At 41.9% G+C, this 24,358-nt stretch overlaps 1 protein-coding gene across 1 annotated transcript in view; it reads left to right on the plus strand.

Annotated features, from left to right (window-relative positions):
• Positions 1 to 24,358, plus strand: part of UPRT (uracil phosphoribosyltransferase homolog) — a 148,529-nt gene that overhangs the window by 980 nt on the left and 123,191 nt on the right. Inside the window, exons 2-3 of the mRNA NM_001363821.1 lie at positions 3,202 to 3,323; positions 10,458 to 10,531. The gene's annotated coding sequence lies outside the window, so the exon portion shown is untranslated. The remainder of the gene's footprint in view (positions 1 to 3,201; positions 3,324 to 10,457; positions 10,532 to 24,358) is intronic.

The following is a 24,358-nucleotide window of genomic DNA, read 5'->3' on the forward strand; positions in this document are numbered from 1 at the left end:
GATTCATTCAAGGGGATGCTTGAGCTAGTTATTTAAAGAAAAATAGAATTCAAGTTGAAGAGGTTGACTGGAATTACACGTAAAGAAGATGACATGTTAAAAGCAAGAAGGCATAAGAAAATATTTTCAGGTTCAGGAGTCTATGGAGTTTGGGAAAGTAGTAGGAGGTTAACCTGAGTGAACAGAGACCTGATGGTAAAGGGCCTTCTATTTCATTCTAAGAAGTTAATACTTTATCCTATAACCAGTGAAGAGTTTTAATCAGGAGAGTAACATGATCAGATTTATATGTCCATTAAGCTACTCTGGCTTAAGTGAGAAGGTTGGATTGGACGGAGTTCATATTGAAGTCATGAAGTTAATGCAATAGTTCAGTCATAAAATAAAGGCCTCAACCTAGCAGTAGCAGTGGCAGTAGATCGATTGCAGGGCAATTAGGAGATGGAATTGGCAAGACTTAGTGACTAATTGGATGTTTCTAGCTTATTATTGTATTGTTGACAGTAGATCAGTAATGGCTTCATATTAATGACTATATTGTCATCAACAAATATTTATTCAGCATCTATTCTGTGTTAGACAGCTACAGTATACATTAGAGAAACTCTAGACTCTACTAATGATTTCTCTTAGGGCTGAATATTGCCACTGAATCTTACCACCCAGTTGTAAAGTCTTTGAATGGAGCCAAATTATTTTTTTCCAAAAGTAGTGCTCATTGTAAGCCAACTGTTTTGATCAAAAAGTGTGAATAACATTGAAATACCCAAGTTGTTACTCTATGATGAGCTAAAGTGAGGCAAATATTTATTTGCCAAATAAGCCGAAGAAAATTTCCAGGGCACCCAGAAATAGAACGTGAGGCATAATAAGAGTTGCACACTGCTGGGGAAGAGCAGCAACAAAAAGGCCAACTCAGCCTGTAATAACTTGACACATAACTGTCTGACATAAATTAAAGAGACAGAGGTATACACAATAAAAGCTGCTATAAATAGCTGCTACAACCACAGATCACATGATAGCACTTTATGTATGCAATAATTAAATGTGTATAGTATTTTGTAACTTACAATCCGCTTTGTCATACCTTATTTCATTTAGTCCTCACATCGACCATGGAAGATAGGTATTATTTATTAATATGCCCATATTTATGAGGAAACTGAGGCTAAGAAAAGTTGTGACTAGGTCAGAGGCCACAGAGCTAATGGGATGGAGACCAAACCTAGGTTTTATGACTCCAAACATAGTGCTCTTTTCACTTAATAACACCTGAAATGTGGAAGAAACACTTGAGCAATTTAAGAAGGCCACAGTGGTCTTCTGTTTCTAAAAAATACCAGAACTTATTCTCACCTCAGGACCTTTCCACTTGCTTTCCCCTCTACCAGGAATATCTTTCCTGTAGATTTTTAAATGACTTTTTCTTATCTTTCAGGTCTCAAAACAAATGTCACCTGCTTAGAGAAGCTTTCCAAGAGAACCTTATCTGAAGAGGCCACCCCCTGTCCCCACCACTCTGTATCACCATTGCCTTGTGTTATTTCCCTTAAAATCTTGCTATTCCAATGTGATCCATGGACCACTAGCATTGGCATTACTTGAGAGGTTGTTAGAACTGCAGAATCTTTTTTAGCTATTTTGAACTATACAGTAAGTTGTTGTTAACTATAGTCACCTGCCCTACTGTACTATAGAACACTAGATATTACTCCTTCTAACTACATTTTTGTACCCATTGACCAACCTCTTTTCATTGTCCCCTCCCTTCTGCTCTTCTTACCTTCTGATAACCACTATTCTACCCTCTACCTTCATGAGATATACTTTTTTAGCTCCCACATATGAGTGAGAACATGTGGTATTTGTCTTTTTGTACCTGGCTTATTTCACTTAGCATGATGACCTTCAGTTCCATCAATGTTGCTGCAAATGACAGGATTTCATTGTTTTATGGCTGAACAATATTTTATTGTGTATGTACACCACATTTGGAAGAAAGAGAATGTTCCCAACATAAAGAAAAGCTAAATGTTTCTTTATTTGATTATTACCTTGTTGTATATATTGTTTATGATATCATATGCATCATGTATCAAAATATCACATGTACTTCAACAATATGTACAGCTATTACATAGCAATAAAAAAAGAAATGCAGAATCTCAAGCCCGATGCCAGACTTAAATATTCAAAATCCGAATTTTAATTAGAATGCCTCAGGTTGTTCATATGCACATTCAAGTCTGAGAGGCACTTTTAGAGCACGTATCACTTTCTGAAACTAACTTATTTTCCATGTACTTTTAACATTTGGAAATATTGAATCATAACTGAAAATTACAAAGAAAAACGTAATCACCATGTACCTACAACCCAGCTTAGTCATAGCTTAAGATTTTATGATACTTGCCTTAAATTTTTTTTTTTTTTTTTTTTTTTTGAGATGGAGTCTCACTCAGTTGCTCAGGCTGGAGTGCAGTGGCACAATCTCAGCTCACTGCAACTTTCGCCTCCCGGGTTCAAGCGATTCTCCTGCCTCAGCCTCCTGAGTAGCTGGGACTACAGGTGCATGCCACCACGCCCGGCTAATTTTTTGTATTTTTAGTAGAGACGGGGTTTCACCGAGGATTGTCTTGATCTCCTGACCTCGTGATCCACCTGCCTCGGCCTCCCAAAGTGCTGGGATTACAGGCGTGAACCTCTATGCCCAGCCTGCCTTAGATCTTAAAAATAATGACTTAGTTGAAGATCCCGGCATTGCCCTTCTCTAATCCTAGTCTCTTTATCCTTGTGGATTTATTTCTGTTTTATTCTTTTATGTTATTTTGGTGGAGTCTGTAAGGAAGAGGCGATAAATAGGTTTGATTTTCCTCTTCGTTTTCTAACCTCTAGACATTTCCTTTGTTTGCTTTCAAGCTCAACTATGCATTTTTTAAAAACTTTGGGGCTTTTTGTTGCTACTTTTAACCAACTTGTCTGTGTTTGGAGTCTGTAGGGTAGTGTCTCTTACATGTTGTCAGTTAGCCCTCTTGTCTCTATTGTATACCTCTTAACCTGGTTTACACTTTAAAAAATGCAGCCCAAAATTACCCTTCCCCCAAAATAAGGTGCATTGCATAAAGATGTTTATATCAGTGTTATTAATAATAGCAACTTTTTCTGTCGTTTTACTTTATTTGTTTATTTATTTTTTAGAGACAGAGTCTCGCTCTTGTCACTCAGGCTGGAGTGCAGTGTTGCAATCACAGCTTACTGCAGCCTCAAGCTCCTGGACAAGGGATCCTCCCGCTTCAGCCTCCCAAGTAGCTGGGACTAAGGTGTGTACGACAGTGCCTGACATATATTTAAAAAATTTTTTAAAGATGGGGTTCGCTATGTTGCCCAGGCTGGTCTCAAACTCCAAGCATCAAGTGATCCTCTTGCCTCAGCTTCCCCAATGGCTGGGATTTACAGGCATGAGCCACCATGACCAGTGCAACTTTTGAAAATAATTCCAAATATTCCAAAAGCAGTTCAACGAAATACCTCAACAGCTATTATTTGAAAAGTATATGTATGTACTTGCGTTGATACTGTATATGGGAAAGTATATATGAAATAATGTTGAATAAAGAAGAAACAAACATATATATACATTTATATGTATGAATATATAAACACATACACACATGTTTATTACTATTGAGATTTTAGGAGAACATTGCACAAAATAAGTAGTTGTTTTAAAGTTATGTTTATCACTTTTTTTCCCTTTTTTGAAGGGAATATTTATTGGGCATTTATTCTGTTTTAAGCACTGCACTGCACTGCACTGGGTGCTTTAAGTTGTATCATCGAATTTAATCCACTCAACGCACATAAAGAGTGGTTTCTGTTATAATCTCCACCTTACAAATGAGGAAAAGAAAGCTCTGGGCTTGCCCAAGTAGTTTGGAAGTGGTAGAGATGATATCCAAATCCAGAAGGTCTGATTCCAGAGCCCATGCTCCTTGTCACCATGCCATAGAGGGTTTTAATAATAGTTGTTTGTATAAAAATTAAATTTTAAAAATGAATGCAAAGTTTTAGTTATTTTTTAACTTAATAAAAATTTAGAGATTTTGGTAAACTTTAATGCTTAACCTCCAGGGGAAAAAAAATCTTTTACAAATTTGTAAATGAGCTGGTTTCTTTGCATATCATGCAAAATAATATCTTAATCCTCATATATAATAATAACAGCTATTAATTATCGAGTGCTTCATCTGTAACAGGGAGTAGCTACTGCTTTACATACATGATCATATAATCCTCTCCAATATTGTATGAGGTAGCTATTATTATAATTACCATTTTTTTCTGCTGATGTAACCTGAGACTTACAGACATTAAAGAACTTTCCCAAGATTGCTTACCTAGTAAACAGCGGAGTCAAAACTCAAACCTAAACCTGACACTAAAGTCTATGCTGCCAACCTAAACTATGCTGCCTTTTCTTGTATGTGTCAATACCACCTGTAGGATTTAGGGGGCATGCCAAATCTGTTTTCACTGTAATATTGTGGGCAATCCTATGTATTATAAAACAGTGACCCAGCTTTATCTCGACAAAAATAATCTTGTGGGAATTTCGTAGGACTGTGGGACCCCATGTAGATGGCACAATAAGAATCATCTCCTTTTGAACACTATGCATTGGGTCCATCCCAAGAGTCATCATGTGTATCCCTTAGAAATATTTCTAGGTATACCCTAATTTCCTTCTTTCTTTTCTTTTTTTTTTTTTTTTGTATTTTTAGTAGAGACGGGGGTCTTACCATGTTGGTCAGGCTGGTCTCGAACTCCTGACCTCAGGTGATCCACCCGCCTCAGCCTCCCAAAGTGCTGAGATTACAGGCGTGAGCCACCACGCCCAGCAGGTATACCCTAATTTCAAGTCTCTTGAAGATCTAACTTGCTTGCTGTTTTAAAGCTCCATGGTTTTACTCTGGTATGAAGGATCCAGTGAACTGTGAAAACTTGTCTTTTTATCTGTGTGGCATGTAGACCCATGATAAAGCTATAGATTAATAACTCAGTATGATGTTTTTAAGCTCTCAGAACTCACTTCAAAGTTTTCATCTTAAACTCTCCAAGTTGCAGTTTCAAGATATTCTAAAAGATGTTGAAGTGGGGTGAGAGAATGTGAATGAGAAAAATTAGTTATCTGGAAAATTATTTTAATAAGATGGGTTACAAAGGGGTGGATAGGCTTGAGTGTGACATCAATTTTTAATAGGCTGAGCCTGATGAGGGTTCATATCTGTCTATTAATGTAATATCACTAAGATACCTCTGGCTATAAAACCCATTATTCTGTGATTTCTTACTAACCCGAATCATTATTTACTTTATGTTTGAGGGAGCCTCTCTGGCAGAATCAGATTTTTTTAAAGATCTATTGTTACCCAGGTAACTGCAATAATTATGGTAGTATTAATAATTACAGAGAAGGAAGGAAACTCAGGTACATCGAGGTAGTACTGAATGGTATGATGGCAAAAGCATCAGTATGATGTCGTGTTGATTTCATGGTGCTCCGTAACAAACTAACACAAACTTTGTGGCTAAAAACAACATACATTTATTATCTCACTATTTCTGTGGGTCAGTAATCTAGATACAGATGAGTTGCATTCTCTGCTCCAGAGCTCACCAAGATAAAAATCAAGATATCAGCCAGGGCTGCAATCTCATCTGAGACTTGGGGTCCCTCTCTCAAACTCACTGATTGCCCAAAAACTTCCTTACAATTGTAGGACTGAAATCCTTGTTTTCTTGCTGGCTGTTGGCTGAGGACTACTCTGTTTCCAGAAGGATCCTCAGATCCTTGCCACGTGACCCCTTTTATAGGTAATTAACATGATTGGTTGCTTCTCCAAGGCCAGAAACAGAATCTCTTTGGTTTTGAACCTTTCTTTCAAGAAAGGACAGGACCCTCTTTTAAAGGGCTTGCCTGATTAGATAAGACCCACCCAAGATAATCTCTTTTTTGATTAACTTAAAGTCAACTGATTCAGTGCCTTAATTACATCAGCAAATTCCCTTCTCTTTGCCATGTAACATAATCAAATCAGGGGAGTGTTATCCCATCCATATTCACAAGTCCTGCCCACACTCAAGTGGAGGGGATTATGTAGGGTATATATACTAGAGGGTGGAAATGATAGTGGCCATCTTAGAATTCTGCCTATGACAAAAAACTGGGGTTGCAGATCAAGTTGTAAATGAAAATATGTCTACACAAAAGCCTGAACATGAATGTTTATAGCAGCATTGTTTAGAATAGCCAAAAAGTAGAAACAACTTAAATGTTCATCAACTGGTGACTGAATGAACAAAATGTGGTATATCCATACAATAAAATTGCTATGGTTTAAGTATGTCCCCTGAAAAGCATGTTTTGGAAACTTAATCCCCAATTCAGCCTAATTCCTATTAGGTGAGGCCTGATGAGTGATATTTAGGTCATGAGGGCTACATTCTCATGAATGAACTAATGTTGATTACTAAAGGACTTGAGGGCTGGGTGCAGTGGTTCAATCCTGTAATCGCAGCACTTTGGGAGGTCTAGGCCAGTGGATCACTTGAGGTCAGGAGTTCAAGACCAGCCTGGCCAACATGGCGAAACCCCATCTCTACTAAAGATACAAAAATTAGCTGGGTGTGGTGGCACATGCTTTAATCCCAGCTCCTCAAGAGGCTGAGGCAGGAGAATCGCTTGAACTCAGGAGGCAGAAGTTGTTGTGAGCCAAGATCATGCCACTGCATTCCAGCCTGGGTGACAGAGCAAGTCTCCATCTCTAAATAAATAAATAAATAAATAAATAAAGGGCTTGAGGTTGTGAGTTTGATCTCTAACATGCACACGCATGCTTTCTTGCCCTTTCACCTTCTGCTTTCCAACATAGGGTGATGCAGAAAGAAGGCCCTTGTCAGATGCAGAGCCTTCAACCTTGGACTTCCCAGTCTCCAGAACTGTAAAAAATAAATCTCTGTTCTTTATAAATTACCCCTTATCAGAAACTCTGTAATAACATTACAAACAGACCAAGACAGAAATATTATCGAGCCATACAAAGGAATTAGGTGTTGATACATGCTACAACATGGATGGACCTTGCAAACATTATGCTAAGTGAAAAAAACAAAAAATACCATATATGATTCCATTTATATGAAATGGCCAGAATAACAAATCTGTAAAGATAGAATGTTAGATTAGTGATTGCCTAGTGCTGGGGAATTGGAATACCTGCTAATGTATATGAGGTTTCTTTTTGAAGCAATAAAAATATGTTCTAAAGTTGATTGTGGTGATGGTTGCGAAACTCCATGAATATACTAAAAACTATTGAATCATACACTTTATAGGTGAATTATATAGTATATGAATTATAGCTAATAAAACTTTAAAAAAAAATCATGTTGTATTACTTGCCAGCTTCTTGGATGTTTGGCAATTCAAATTCAGTTTCCTCACCCTTAAGTAGATTTAAGTAAATATAATACTCTCCCTAAGTGAATAAAATACCTCCTTCACGAGGTTGCTGTGAGGTTCAAATGAAGTAATTATGATAAATTGTTTTGTAAACTTCAAAATGCTATACAAATTTTTTAATTGTTATTGTGTAGTATATAACTTTGCAACCAAGGCAAGATCAACTTAATCCTTTTTTTTTTTTTGGCTGTCTTGTCTCCCAATATATTAATCCCAATAGCTGGGTATAATTTCTATATTTCCAAGACTAAATCCTTCTCCCCCTAGTATGTCCATTTCCTTTCATTCTCAACAGAAGTGGAGAACAGTTGCTCAATACTATCTATTCTTTCATCTACTTGAAGTCTTTTCTTTAAAATTCCTCAATTCTTCTCCCCCACATCAATAAGCTAATCCAGTTTCAAAGCTCAACAAGCCCAGTTTGTTTAACCTTTACTTATAAACCCTTATAAATTGAAATATCTTTTCCCCTTATCTGATCCTTTTATATGTAAAAGGTAAACAAGGGCTTCAGGATTAAAAGTCAGATCTGCCTTTGGGGTCTATGTATAACAAGGAATGTTTAAAGCGAAGGTCAAGGAAAGGATAAGAGATTGGGGACTGGAAGAGTCATTTTATTTAATTGAAACTAAGAAGAATCCACAGGGATTACAATTCTCCAATGTTTGAAGCAGCAGATGAAATAACACAAGAAAAGATTGATAGGCATGTCAATGACATGTTTAAATGCCTGCAGTATAATACCAAAGAGAAAGGCTAAATTAACAAAAAGTATTAATTAGGTAAAGCACATTCATATGGAGAAAAATTGAAAGGTGAAACAGATGATTGGTCAATTTTTAAAAGTTTAATGATTTTTTAATATTGTTTTCTGTTTTTTAAGATAATAAATTTTTTCTTTTTTAAAAAAGTAGAGATGAGGTCTCACTATGTTGCCCAGGGTGCTATTGAACTCCTGAGTGCAAATGATCCTCCTGCCTCAGCCTCCCAAAATGCTAGGATTACAGGGGTGAGCCACTGCACCTGACTAAATAATAAATTTGACATAAAAATGATGAAGAATTCACATATCATGGAAAGTTTCTGAAATATAACTTATTCTCTAGCTCATTCAGATTATTAGCAAGATCGGGGGAAAATCATTAACCTAGCACATAATCAGCAACGATATTTTAAGTTTAGGATTTAAATATGATGCAGGACTGTCAATACCAGAATATCCTCGGACAAAATGGGATGGTTGGTCATTCTAGTTTAGTCTTACAATAATTTTGTCTGTAAGGGGCTTGTTATCATTTTATTCCTCTTTTGTACTCATTGTATATGATAATTAAAATCAACATGATTTTTAAACCCTGTTTTTCAACCCTCTTTCCATATTTTAAACACTTCTCCTGTCTCCTCCCTATTTACCAATTACCAACCTATTCTGAAAAGAAATTGCATTTGAGAAGAATGATATTGTAATAACAGATAAAAATAGGAATGTCAGTTTCCACTCAGTAGGGATAGTGTTGAGCATGTTGTCTGTAACACTTTCTGGAGAAGAGAAAGTCGGACAAACTACGACAGCCTCCTCCATGGAGCTAACTTCATAACAAAGGTGGGTTCATGAGACTATATAATAGCTTGATGCCCCCAATCCTTAAGACCATTCAAATTCATCTGCTCAGATCCTCTACTCACCAAATAGCCTTCTTTCCAATTCTTTTTTTTTAACATTTTTATTGTGAATAATGTAAATAAAAGTGTATAAAAGATAAATGAACAATTCTATGAATTCTTTAAAATCTGAGCATATCCAAGCAGCTACCACCCAGGTGAAGAAACAGAGCATTAACAAATTCCCAGGAGCCCCCAGTAATAAATCTTCTCTTCTCCACAAAAGAAAACTAAAGACATCCTTACTTTGGTTACACTTGCCTTCTTTTAAATTTTATTTAATGGAATCATATAGTTATTTTCTACATCTGGTGTTTTTATTTAATCTTCTCTTTGTGATCCACGTTGTGACATATAGCTGTATAATTTTTTATTACCATGTAGTATTCCATTGCATGAATATTCCATTGCATGGACATTTGGGTTGTTTCCATTTTGGGGTCATCATGAATAACGCTGCTATAAATATTCTTATATACATCCCTTGGGTGTACATGTGCATGCATTTCTTTTGTGAATAGACTTGGGAGTAGAATCTCTGAATCATGTATCTTCAGCAATACTTGATATTGTACATCCTTTTCAGTTTTGGTATTCTGCTAATGTGCAGTGGTATCTCTACATTTTCAATTTGTATTTTCTTTTTGTAATTTGCACTTTCCCTATGAAATTTAGCACTGTAAAAAATTTGTATCAGTAATTGGGGTATCCTCTTTTGTGAAATGCTTGATCAAGCCTCCTGCTGATTTTCATGTTCTTTTTTATATACAAGCACATTTATATATTCTGATATAAGTTTCCTGTTGGTTGTATGTATTACAAAAATCTTTCCCCACACCGGATCTCCTAAAGTTGTATGTAAAGCATGAATTGTACGACTTCAGAATTGCTCTTTAAATTATTCATGGGCCTGGATCATATATGTCTCTTTATCATCTTTAAGTAACTATCATATTAGACCCATAATGGGGGTTCAAGCAATATTTGAATTAAATCATTGAAGGACTTGGTGAATTGATTTTTGTGTAGTTTTTAAATGCTATGTTTCACTTTCCATATGCATTTAATCTTATAATTTCAAAAATAGTTTCCAAACATTACTATGCAATGTTGAGCATTTTCTCATATGCTTGTTGGCCACGTGTATATTTTCTTTTGAAAAGTGTCTGTCCAGGTCCTTTTCACACATTTTAACAGGGTTTTTTGGTTTTTGCTTGTTTTTTGTTTTTTTTTTTCAAATGTTCACTTTACTTTTAATTTGTGATTGCAGGCAACATTCACATATCCTGGACTGTGACACATCAGCATTTGTTTCCCTTAGCCAGCCCAAACAAGTACAAATTGGTAAGTGTTTTGGATTTCTGTTTTATGTATTAAATACAGTGAGAGGTTGCCCTCCCACTGTCCCCCTCAATTCAAAGCTACGGGCTCAGTCAGCTTGCAGGCATTGCTGCCTGTTTTTTAGCTTGTCCCTGAAATAAATGAAATAATTAGCAAGTATCATGGACAGATGAGAAAATAAGACAAATCTGTGATTCATTAGGTATGCTACTAGTATATTTTGTCATTTACCTCCGTTCTGTTCCTTTCCCATCGCACTTTTTCTAAAATGAATTGCAGATTTACTTTCAGAATGAGAAGTACCTGTAGTAAATTGATGCCTACATTGACCTGTCCATCTCTGTACTTTCCCCACTTATTTGTACATATTTGAGATTTATTCACCCCATTAAACTTGTATCAAATACTTGTTTTACAAACAAATAAACTGAATATTTTATTTGCTTTTAAAATAAGGTTGTAAAAAGATGGAACACCTCATCTCTTATTGGACCCAAAATAATTTTGATATTAACCATCATTAAATGTTCTGTTTTCTTTTTTTGGGTGGGGGCGGGGTTATTTAAAAATTTTGTCCTTTTTTATCATTTTTAAAATTTCCGTAGGTTTTGGGGGAACAGGTGGTATTTGGTTACATGAGTAAGTTCTTTTTTTTCTTTCCTTTTTTTTGAGACGGAGTTTCGCTCTTTGTTGCCCAGGCTGGAGTGCAGTGGCACGATCTCGGCTCACCGCAACCTCCGCCTCCCGGGTTCAAGTGATTCTCCTGCCTCAGCCTCCCGAATAGCTGGGATTACAGGCATGCGCCACCATGCCTGGCCAGTTTTGTATTTTTAGCGGAGACTGGGTTTCTCCATGTTGGTCAGGCTGGTTTTGAACTACCGACCCCAGGTGATCTGCCCACCTAGGCCTCCCAAAGTGCTGGGATTACGGGCATGAGCCACTGTGCCTGGCTGTGAGTAAGTTCTTTAGTGGTGATTTGTAATATTTTGGTTTACCCATCACCTGAGCAGGATACATTGAACCCATTTTGTAGCTTTTTATTCCTCACCCCCTTCCCACCCTTTTCCCCTGAATCTCCAAAGTCTGTTGTATCATTCTTATGCCTTTGCATCCTTATAGCTTAGCTCCCACTTACGAGTGACAACATATGATGTTTGGTTTTCCATTCCTGAGTTACTTCACTTAGACTAATAGTCTCCAATCCCATCCAGGTTGCTGCAAATGCCATTAATTCGTTCCGTTTTATGGTTGAGTAGTATTCCACAGTGTATATATACTACAGTTTCTTTATTCACTTGTTGATTGATGGCCATCTGGGTGGGTTCCATATTTTTGCAATTGTAAATTTTGCTGCTATAAACATGTATGTGCAAATGTCTTTTTCAGATAATGACTTCTTTTCCTCTGGGTAGATACCTAGGAGTAAGATTGCTGGATCAAATGGTAGTTCTACTTTTAGTTCTTTAAGGAATCTCCACACTGTTTTCCATTAGTTGACATTCCCACCAGCAGTGTAGAAGTGTTCCCTTTTCACTGCATCCACACCAACATCTATTATTTTTTTTGGTTTTTTAATTATGGCCATTCTTGTGGGAGTAAAGTGTTATTGCACTGTGGTTTTGATTTTAATTTCCATCTTGATTTCATTGTTGACTCAATGATCATTTAGGAGCAGGCTATTTAATTTCCATATATTGGCATGGTTTTGAGGGTTCCTTTTGGAGTTGATTTCAAATTTTATTCCACTGTGGCTGAGAGAGTACCTGATATAATTTTGATTTTCTTAAATTTATTAAGACTTGTTTTGTGGCCTATCATGTGTTCTATCTTGCAGAAAGTTCCATGTGCTGATGAATAGAATGTATACTCTGTGGTTGTTAGATAGAATGTTCTGTAAGTATCTGTTAAGTCCATTTGTTCCAGAGTATAGTTTAAGTCCATTGTTTCTTTGTTGACTTTCTGTCTTGATGACCTGTCTAGTGCTGTCAGTGGAGTATTGAAGTTTCACACTATTATCATGTTGCTATCTCATTTCTTAGGTCTAGTAGTAATTGTTTTATAAATTTGGGAGCTCCACTGTTAGGTGCATATATTCTTAGGATTGTGATAGTTTCCTGTTGGACAAGGCCTTTTATCATTATATAATGTCGCTCTGTGTCTTTTTTTTTTTTTTTTTTTGAGATGGAGTCTCAATCTGTCACCCAGGCTGGAGCGCAGTGGTGCGATCTTGGCTCAGCAAAACCTCCGCCTCCCGGGTTCAAGCGATTCTCCTGCCTCAGCCTCCCTAGTAGCTGGGACTATAGGTGCACGCCACCACGCCCAGCTAATTTTTGCATTTTTAGTAGAGACAGGGTTTTGCCATGTTGGCCAGGCTGATCTCAAACTCCTGACCTCAAGTGATCCACCCGCCTTGGCCTCCCAAATTGCTGGGATTACAGGTGTGAGCCACCACGCCTGGCCTGTCTTTTTTAACTGCTTTTGCTTCAAAGTTCTTTTTGTCTGATATAAGGATAGCTACTCCAGCTCGCTTTTGGTGTCCATTTGCATGGAATATCTTTTTCCACCCCTTTATCTTAAGTTTATGTGAGTCCTTATGTGTTGGGTGAGTCTCTTGAAGATGGCAGATACTTGGTTGGTTAATTCTTACCCATTCTGCAATTCTGTAATCTTTTAAGTAGAGCATTTAGGCCATTTACATTCAATATTAGTATTGAGATTTGAGATACTATTTCATTCATTATGCTAGTTGTTACCTGAATACCTTGTTTTTTTTATTGTGTTATTGTTTTATAGGTCCTGTGAGATTTATGCTTTAAGGAGGTCCTCTTCTGGTGTATTTCAAGGTTTTGTTTCAATATCTAGGATTCCTTTTAGTATTTCTTGTAGTGCTGGCTTGGTAGTGGCAAATTCTGTCAGTATTTGTTTGTCTGAAAAAGGCTATCTCTCCTTCATTTATGATGCTTAGTTTTGCTGCATACAAAATTCTTAGCTGATAATTTATTTAAGGAAGTTAACAATAGGACCCCAATCCCTTCTAACTTGTAGGGTTTCTGCTGAGAAATCTGCGTTATTCTGATAGATTTTCCTTTATAGGTTCCCTGGTGTTTTTGCCTCAGAGCTCTTAAGATTCTTTCCTTTGTCTTGACTTTAGAAAACCTGATGATGATGTACCTAGACAATGATCTTTTTGTGGTGAATTTCCCAGGTGTTCTTTGAGCTTTTTGTATTTGAACATCTAGGTCTCCAGCAAGGCTAGGGAAGTTTTCCTCAATTATTCCCCCAAATATGTTTTTCAGACTTTTAGATTTCTCTTCTTCCTCAGGAACACTAATTATTCTTGGGTCTGGTCATTTAACATAATCCCAACCTTCTTGGAGGCTTTGTTCATTTTTTAAAATTATTTTTTCTTTGTCTTTGTTGGATTTGGTTAAATCAAAAGCCTTGTCTTCGAGCTCTGAGGTTCTTTCTTTTGCTTGTTCGATTCTATTGCTAAGACTTTCCAGTACATTTTGCATTTTGCTAAATGTGTCCTTTATTTCTTGAAGTTGTGATTGTTTTTTATTTACGCTATCTATTTCACTGAATATTTCTCCCCTCATATCTTGTATCATTTTTTCATTTCCTTAAATTGGATTTTACCTTTCTCTGGTGCCTCCTTGATTAAGTTAATACTTGACCTTCCGCATTCTTTTTCAGGTAAATCCGGGATTTCTTTTTGGTTTGGATCCATTGCTGGTGAGCTAGTGTGATTTTTGGGGGGTGTTAAAGAAGGTTGTTTTTTTTTTTTTATGTTACCAGAATTGTTTTTCTGGTTTCTTCTCATTTGGGTAGGCTATGTCATAGGGAAGATCTGGGTCTCAATGCTGCTTTTTCAGATTCTTTTGTCCCATGGGGTGTTCTCTTGAGGTAGTACTCTTCCCATTTTCCTAGGGATGTGGCTTCCTGAGAGCCGAACTCTAATGATTGTTATTTCTTTTCTGGCTCTAGCCACCCAGCAGGGCTCCCAGGCTCCAGGTTGGTACTGGGGGTTGTCTGCACAGAGTCCTGTGATGTGAACTGTCTTCAGGTCTCTCAGCCATGGATACCAGCACCTGCTCTGGTGGAGGTGACAGGGGAGTGAAATGGACTCTGTGAGAGTCCTTAGTTTTGGTTGTTTAATGCACTATTTTTATGCTCGTTGGCCTCCTGCCAGGACATGGCAGGCTTTCAAGAGAGCATCAGCTATGGTAGTATAGGAAGGATCAGGTGATCGGTGGAGCTCTAGAACTCTCTATAGAATATGCCCTTTGTCTTCAGCTACCAGGATGGGTAGAGAAAGACCATTAGGTGGGGGCAGGGTTAGGCATGTACGAGCTCAGACTCTCTTTGGGCTGAGCTTGCTGAGGCTGCTGTGGGGGATAGGGGTGTGGTTCCCAAATCAATGGAGTTATGTTCCCAGGAGGATTATGGCTGTCTCTGTTGTGTCATCCAAGTTATCAGGGAAGTGGGGGAAAGCTGGCAGTTACAGGCCTCACCCAGCTCCCACACAACCCAAAAGGTCGGTCTGACTCCCATCATGCTCTCCCCAACAGCACCAAGTTTGTTTCCAGGCAGTGGGTGAGCAGGGCTGAGAACTTGCCCAGGCTACCAGCCTCCCAGCTGAGAAAGCAAGCAGTGCTTTTGTGTCCGGAATTGGTGGGTTCTTGGTCTCACTGACTTCAAGAATGAAGCCACGGACCCTTGCGGTGAGTGTTACAGCTCTTAAGGTGGTGCCTCTGGAGTCTGTCCTTTTTGATGTTTAGATGTGTTCGGAGTTTCTTCTTTCTGGTGGGTTCGTGGTCTCGCTGGCTTAGGAGTGAAGCTGCAGACTTTCGCGGTGAGTGTAACAGCTCTTAAGGCAGCGCGTTTGGAGTTGTTTTTTCCTCCCGGTGGGCTCGTGGTCTCGCTGGGCTCAGGAGTGAAGCTGCAGATTTTCGCAGTGAGTGTTACAGCTCATAAAAGCAGCGTGGACCTAAAGAGTGAGCAGTAGCAAGATTTATTGTAAAGAGCGAAAGAACAAATCTTCCACAGTGTGGAAGGGGACCTGAGCGGGTTGCACTGCTGGCTCGGGCAGCCTGCTTTTATTCTCTCATCTGGCCTCACCTACATCCTGCTGATTGGTAGAGCCGAGTGGCCTGTTTTGACAGGGCGCTGATTGGGGTGTTTACAATCTCTGAGCTAGATACAAAGGTTTTCCATGTCCTTATCAGATTAGTTAGATACAGAGTTTCGACACACAGGTTCTCTAAGGCCCTACTAGAGCAGCTAGACACAGAGTGTCGATTGGTGCATTCACAAACATTGAGCTAAACACAGGGTGCTGATTGGTGTGTTTACAAACCTTGAGCTAGATATAGAGTGCTGATTGGTGTATTTACAATCCTTGAGCTAGACATAAAGGTTTTCCAAGGCCCCACCAGAGCAGCTAGATACAGAGTGTCAATTGGTGTATTTACAATCCTTGAGCTAGACATAAAGGTTCTCCAAGGCCCCACCAGAGCAGCTAGATACAGAGTGTCGATTGGTACACTCACAAACCTTGAGCTAGACACAGGGTGCTGATTGGTGTGTTTACAATCCTTGAGCTAGATATAAAGACTCTCCACGTCCCCACCAGACTCAGGAGCCTAGCTGGCTTCACCTAGTGGATCCTACACCGGGGCTGCAGGTGGAGCTGCCTGCCAGTCTCGCACCGTGCGCTCACACTCCTCAGCCCTTGGGTGGTCGATGGGACTGGGTGCCATGGAGCAGGGGGAAGTGCTCGTCGGGGAGGCTCGGGCCACACAGGAGCCCATGGAGTGGGTGGGAGGCTTAGGCATGGCAGACTGCAGGTCCTGAGCCCTGCCCCGCGGGAAGGCAGCTAAGGCTCGGTGAGAAATTGAGCGCAGCGCTGGTGGGCTGGCACTCCTGGGGGACCCAGTACACCTTCTGCAGCCACTGGCCCGGGTGCTAAGTCCCTCATTGCCCGGGGCTGGCAGGGCTGGCCGGCTGCTCCGAGTGCGGGGCCCGCCAAGCCCACGCCTACCCGGAACTCCAGCTGGCCCACAAGCGCCGCATGCAGCCCCGGTTCCCGCTCCCGCCTCTCCCTCCACACCTCCCTGCAAGCTGAGGGAGTGGGCTCCAGCCTTGGCCAGCCTAGAAAGGGGCTCCCACAGTGCAGTGGTGGGCTGAAGGGCTCCTCAAATGCCGCCAAACTGGGAGCCCGGGCAGAGGAAGTGCCAAGAGCGAGTGAGGGCTGTGAGGACTGCCAGCACACTGTCACCTCTCAATCCCCCCTCTAAACAGGACACCCCAACTGCTGTTGGGAATTTGGCCAATGACCGCTCTAGCTACCTCCTGCTGGGTAGGGGCAAAGAAGGGGCCCTGCAGTTGTAGTGTCCTTCAGAGGAGAACTCTCTAGGCCAGGGGAAGTGCCAGTGGGTCGGTCCAGGGGTCCCCAGTAGAAGTTGTTAGTTGAACTCATTTGGGGTTCCATTTGTAAGACCATCTGTAGCTTGATGGCCTCGATTCTAGAGGAAACAAATTTGACAAGAAGGTTAAACATACAGGGCCTAAAGGTGAGTAACAGCAAGATGGCTGACACGGGACCTAGAAAGGGGAGAAGCCATGTTGCCTAACTCTAGAGATTGGTATAAGAATTTGAAAGGCGTTGTCTGATTTCAGAAGCCTTTTCCTGTAAACCCCAGGCGGCATCTCATACTATCCCTTACTGGTTAGTGTAAAAACAACACTCTTCCCCTAAGAAGGTGTAGCGTCCTCCTTTTTCAGCAGTGAGGAGGTCTAGGCCTCAGTGGTTTTGGAGAGTCACTGCTGCCAAAGAGTCTGTTTGGGATTGTAAAGGAAGAATAGATTTTGTTATTTCTTGCAAACTGTCTGAGAGGCAGATATGGGTTGAAGATCCACATAAGTAGAATATGCCTTGGCTGTGTAGATAGAAATTTACCTTGGCTTTTAAAGGAATAGGGTACACTGTTTTTTCTTTACTACTTTCATCTCTTTCTCTCTTCGACTTCTTTTTTGTCTCTTTCTCTCTTTTTAACTCTCTCTTTGACTTTCTGTGTCTGTCCCTCTTTCTCTCTGACTCCTTCTCCTTGTCTCTGTTTCTTTCTCTCTCTCGTTCTCTGATGTTTTTCTCTCTTTCCTTCTTTCTGGTCTTTCCTTACTTCTGCCAGCCACTTATGCTGCTGCTCTCCCCTCTCCTTCCCATTTTTATGGCTTTGTCAGTGTACGATTCCTACCTCTTTGTGTTTTTGCATTGCGTGACTGTGCAGGCATTTTTTTGCCCTTTCAAATTGTCCTCCTAATGCCCAGACTTCAGTGTTGATTCCTTCCTCAAGTAGGGGACAACAAATGGGTAACTTGTTCCTCATATTCATGTAGATAATAGCTCCAGCCTTGGCTAATATATCCCTCCCTAATAATAGTGTGGGACTTTCAGGCATAACAAAAAAGGCATGTGAAAAGAGCAAAGTCTCCCAATTACAACTGATGAGGTGGGAGAAATACCTGATTACAGGCTGTCCTAGGATTCCTCGGATGGTAACGGATCTTGAGGACAGTTGTCTAGGACAGGAGATTAACACTGAGAAGGCCGCACCAGTGTCCAGGAGGAAGTCAATTTCCTGGCCCTCAATAGTTAAACATACCTGGGGCTCAGTGAGGGTGATGACATGAGCTGGCGCTTGCCCCGGGCACCCTCAGTCCTGTTGTTGGATCATCTGGTTGGGGGCTTCTGACCCAGGGAACCTTCGTCCTCTGGGGCAGTGCACCTTCCAGTGATTGCCTTGGCATAGTGGACATGGATGAGGGGGCAGCTTGTTTCTCATTGGACAATCTTTTTTAAAGTGTCCTAGTAAACCACACTGATAACAAGCCCTACCAGGTGGTTGGCCTGCTCCATTTTCTGACCTCTCTCAACCGTTTGTCTGAGGGCCATGACTAAGGCTGCGGCCTTTCTCTGATCTCGCTTTTCCTTTTGGGCCTGTTCTTCTTGGTCCCTATTATAGAACACTGAGTTTGCCACGTTTAATAATGCCTCTAGATTTTGTTCAGGGCCCAGGGCTTGCTTTTGGAGCTTTCTCCTGATATCTGCGGCTGATTGGGTGATAAACTTATCTTTTAGAATCAATTGACCCTCGAGTGATTCGGGTGATAGGGGAGTATATTTTCTTAAGGCCTCTCGTAGCCGCTCGAGGAAGGCAGAAGGATTTTATTCCTTTCCCTGGGTTATGGTGGATATCATTGAATAATTTATGGGCTTTTTCCTAATTCTCCTTAGTCCTTCTAGAACACAGGTCAACAGATGTTTACAACTCCAGTCCCCATGATCTGAGTAAAGGTCCTAGTGGGGGTCCATACTGGGGATTGCTTGCTGACCAGTAGGGAATTTGTCCCTTTCTTCAGCTGTCATTCTATCATTTACTTGACTGAGATACCAGGTATCTCCAAACTCTCGGGCTGCAGCTAAAGCCGCATTCTTTTAATTAAAGGCCAGGGTTTGATCTAACAGTAGCATGACGTCTCTCCAAGTGAGGTCAAAGGTTTGCCCTAGACCCTGTAGGACATCTATGTACCTATCAGGATCATCTGAAAACTTCCCCAGGTCTGCCTTGATCTACTTTAAATCAGAGAGGGAGAAGGGGACATGTACCTGGGTTGGGCCAAATTCCCCTCCCCCTACAGCTTGAAGGGGACATAACCGATAGCCTGGGGTTTTTTGTGGACCTTTGGAGATTTCTTTGCTTATTTCCTTTTGGGCAGGGGAGATTAGAGGAGGAGTATCATCAACAGGAAGGGGAGCTATAAGGAGGCTAGGATATGGGGGTAAGCTGAGGGGTCCTCCTGTGGGATGTAAATTGCAAGCTTTGCATAGTCGTGTATTCTCCCTCAGTGAAAAGAAAGCTTGGACATAAGGTATTTCACTCCATTTGCCTTCCCTCCTACAGAAAAGATCAAACTGCAGGATAGTATTGAAATTTGTACTTCTCTCAGGTGGCCATTTTTCCCCATCAGAAAGAGAATATTGGTGCCAAGCCGTAGTGCAGAAAAAAGTGAGCCACCTCTTTTTCAGGGTTTGTGGGTCAAATTGGTCCTAATGGCTTAGGATGCATTTCAAGGGTGAGCCTGTTGATGCCTGAGTGTTTCCCATCTGAAAGACAAAACCGCCCATGGTTTTGGTTTATTTTGTTTCTCTCCCTGCCCAAGAACCTGCAATGGTCCCTGGACCCTGCTGATCAGAATAGTTGCGCTCACCGACACAGCAGCAGAAACAACCCCTGCCCAAGAACCCGCAATGGTCCCTGGACCCTGCTGATCGGAATAGTTGCGCTCACTGACGCAGCAGCAGAAACAACCCCTGCCCAAGAACCCGCAATGGTCCCTGGACCCTGCTGATCGGAATAGTTGCACTTACCGACGCAGCAGCAGAAACGCTAGTTTTCCTCCCAGACCACATGGAGGACCGAGGAAGGTCGGATTTAGTGGTCCTTACCGACGCATTCTTGAAAACCTGCACCCTTGCCTGTCCTCCTAGACCACAAGGAGGACCGACCGAGAAAAATCGGATTTAGTGGCCCTTACCGACGCATTCTCAAAAACCTGTTAGAGTCCTAAGCATTCTCCTGTTAGTATTGGGACTTTACCCCTGTCCTATAAAGATGTTATGCCCTAAAAATGAAGTGGAGGGCCATACCCTGAGGGAGGGAAAGGATCTCTAGGGCTGGAGGAGTGACACCTTTTGTCCTCACTTATATAAATAGGAAGGATACAATTTCTGAGGCTCCCCATATCCTAGCTGCAGGAATAGCTTTTGTTAGGCCTGTTAGTCTGAGGAGGGATCCTAAAATTCCAGGTAGTCCCCACTACAACGGGGCTTTGGGCAAAAATTATGTCTTTCCGATTGGTGAGCCCAGGTGCCTAAAGAAGGTAACAGAGTCCTGGAGTTTATACTAGAAGTCATTCTTATAGGAGAAACTAGAAAAGCACTAGAGACAGGTAGCAATTTTTAGAGGTGGGTCTAACCTCAGAGAAGAGAGGTGAGAGGAAGTTTCTCTGGCAGGCATTAGGACCCAGAGGGCAAAGGTCAGGATAGATAGGATAGATGGGCGAGTCTCGCTTGGGCGACATGCTTGTGAGAGTTCCACTCATGGCCGCAGGGTCAACCAACATGTTGTCGGGACCCCGGAGCTGCATGGCTTTCCTCTCTGTTGACCCTCGGCTCAGCCCAGAAGTACAGGAAAAGCGGAAGCTGGTTCTAGGCAAACCAACGGTCCCAACTCCGAAGAGTCGGGGGTTGTTAGCCCTTTCCCAGAAAGCCTGACACCCGTGTCTTTAGTCCGGCGGCTGCGCTAGTCGCTTTTAACTGGCCGACAGGTGCCCAGTTTTTAGCCCCCGAATTCTAAGGAAAGATAGGACAGAATAGCAAGTGAAAGGGGTCCGATGGTACTCACTGCTTGGCGATAGGCGAAAGTCTCACCGCTCAGCGATAGGCGATGGTCTCACCGCTTGGCAATTGTCTCACCGCTTGGCGATAGGCGAAAGTCCCTTCGTGGTCACCAAAATGTGTCCGGAATTGGTGGGTTCTTGGTCTCACTGACTTCAAGAATGAAGCCGCGGACCCTCACGGTGAGTGTTACAGCTCTTAAGATGGTGAGTCTGGAGTCTGTCCTTTTTGATGTTCAGATGTGTTCGGAGTTTCTTCTTTCTGGTGGGTTCGTGGTCTCACTGGCTCAGGAGTGAAGCTGCAGACCTTCATGGTGAGTGTTACAGCTCTTAAGGCAGCGCATTTGGAGTTGTTTGTTCCTCCCGGTGGGCTCGTGGTCTCTCTGGGCTCAGGAGTGAAGCTGCAGATCTTTGCGGTGAGTGTTACAGCTCATAAAAGCAGCGTGGACCTAAAGAGTGAGCAGTAGCAAGATTTATTGTAAAGAGTGAAAGAACAAAGCTTCCACAGTGTGGAAGGGGACCTGAGTGGGTTGCCACTGCTGGCTAGCGCAGCCTGCTTTTATTCTCTTATCTGGCCTCACCTACATCCTGCTGATTGGTAGAGCCAAGTGGCCTGTTTTGACAGGGCGCTGATTGGTGCGTTTACAATCCCTGAGCTAGATAAAAAGGTTCTCCACATCCTTTTCAGATTAGTTAGATACAGAGTTTCGACACACAGGTTCTCTAAGGCCCTACTAGAGCAGCTAGACACCAGAGTGTCGATTGGTGCATTCATAAACCTTGAGCTAAACACAGGGTGCTGATTGGTGTGTTTACAAACCTTGAGCTAGACATAAAGGTTTTCCAAGGCCCCACCAGAGCAGCTAGACACAGAGTGTCGATTGGTGCACTCACAAACCTTGAGCTAAACACAGGGTGCTGATTGGTGTATTTACAATCCCTGAGCTGTACATAAAGACTCTCCACATCCTTACCAGAGCAGCTAGATACAGAGTGTCAATTGGTGCACTCACAAACCTTGAGCTAGACACAGGGTGCTGATTGGTGTGTTTACAATCCTTGAGCTAGATATAAAGACTCTCCACGTCCCCACCAGACTCAGGAGCCTAGCTGGCTTCACCTAGTGGATCCTACACCAGGGCTGCAGGAGCTGCCTGCCAGTCTCGCGCCATGCGCTCGCACTCCTCAGCCCTTCCTTGGGTGGTCGATGGGACTGGGTGCCATGGAGCAGGGGGTGGTGCTCGTCGGGGAGGCTCGGGCCGCACAGGAGCCCATGGAGTGGGTGGGAGGCTTAGGCATGGCAGACTGCAGGTCCTGAGCCCTGCCCCACGGGAAGGCAGCTAAGGCTCGGTGAGAAATTGAGCGCAGCGCTGGTGGGCTGGCACTGCTGGGGGACCCAGTACACCTTCTGCAGCCACTGGCCCGGGTGCTAAGTCCCTCATTGCCCGGGGCTGGCAGGGCTGGCTGGCTGCTCCGAGCGCGGGGCCCGCCAAGCCCACACCTACCCGGAACTCCAGCTGGCCCGCAAGCGCCGCATGCAGCCCCGGTTCCCGCTCCCGCCTCTCCCTCCACACCTCCCTGCAAGCTGAGGGAGTGGGCTCCAGCCTTGGCCAGCCTAGAAAGGGGCTCCCACAGTGCAGTGGTGGGCTGAAGGGCTCCTCAAATGCCGCCAAACTGGGAGCCCAGGCAGAGGAGGTGCCAAGAGTGAGCAAGGGCTGTGAGGACTGCCAGCACGCTGTCACCTCTCACTTTGTTGCCTCCCCACCTGTTGAATCTGCACACCAGAATCATGCCCTTCCCCGAGTTCTGGCCAGGAGACTTTGCATTCAGTTGGAATTCTTACAAAGTTCAGTTGGAGGTTTCCTTCTCCCTGTGGTCTTTTCCCAGTTCCTCTGTCAGCCCTCCCCAAGAACCTCTGTGAGACAAGTCAGAAATGGCTTCCCTGGGGACCCAGATAGCGCACAGGGCTTTTCCCACTGCTTCTTCTACTACCCCTGTGTTTTGCTCAGCTCTCTAAATTGACTCAGCTCCAGGTAAGCTCAAGTCATTCTCCCATGATCTAGACCTTCAGGTTCCCCAGTGAAGGTGTGTATTTGAGGGTAGACGATCCCTCTTTCCCACTCTCACAGCTTGGGCTCTCACAGTATTTGGGCTTTCTCCCAGATCCTGCAGCAGCGATGTACTTCTTTCAGAGGGTCTGTAGATTCTCTCCGCTTTTCTGACATATTCCTGCAGTATTTCTGGAGCAAAAGTTCATGATATGAGTCTCCACACTCTGCTCTGTCCATGTGAGCTGGAGCTGCAAGCTAGTCCTGCTTCCTGTCTTCCATCTTCCCCCTTTTCTCTGTTTTTTTTTTTTTGTTTTTTTTTTTTTTTTTTTTTTTTTGCTTGTTAATTTGTTTACATTTCTTATAGATTCTGGATATTAGACCTTTGTTGGATGCAGTTTGCAAAATTTTTTTACCATACTATACGTTGTCTGCTTACTCTGTTGATAGTTTCTTTTGGTGTGCAGAAGCTCTTTAGTTTACTTCAATCCCATTTGTCAGTTTTTGCTTTTGTCACAATTGCCTTTGACATCTTCATCATGAAGTCTTTGCCCATGCCTATGTCCTGAATGGTATTGCCTAGATTGTCTTCCAGGGTTTTTATAGTTTTGGGTTTTAAATTTATGTCTTCAATCCATCTTTTTTTGTATATGGTTTAAGAAAGGGGTTCAGTTTCAGTCTTCTGCGTATGCTAGCCAGTTATCTTAGCACCATGTATTGAATAGGGAGTCCTTTCCCTATTGCTTGTTTTTGCTGATTTTGTCAAAAATCAGATTGGTGTAGGTGTGCAGCATTATTTCTGGGCTTTCTATTCTGCTTCATTGGTGTACGTGTCTGTTTTATTACCAGTGCCATGTTGTTTTGGTTACCGTACCTTGTAGTATAGTTTGAAATTGGGTAATGTGGTTCTTCCAGCTTTGTTCTTTTTGTTTAGGATTGACTATTAAGGCTCTTTTTTGCTTCCATATTAATTTTAAAATAGTTTTTTTCTAATTCTGTAATGCATGTTATTGGTAGTTTGATAGTAATAGCTTTGAATCTGTAAATTGCTTTGGGTAGTATGGCCATTTTGTCAGTATTGATGCTTCTTATCTGTGAGCGTGGAATGTTTTTCCATTTGTATCCTCTCTTCTTTCCTTGAGCAGTGTTTTGTAATTATTGTTGTACAGGTCTTTCACCTCCTTGGTTAGCTGTATTCTGAGGTATTTTATACTTTTTGTGGCTATTGTGAATAGAATTGCATTCTTGATTTGGCTCTCAGCTTGGATGTTGTTGGTGTATAGGAATGCTACTGATTTTTGTACATTTACTTTGTATCACGAAA

Source organism: Homo sapiens, chromosome X (assembly GCF_000001405.40).
Source record: "Homo sapiens chromosome X, GRCh38.p14 Primary Assembly".
NCBI lineage: Eukaryota > Metazoa > Chordata > Mammalia > Primates > Hominidae > Homo > Homo sapiens.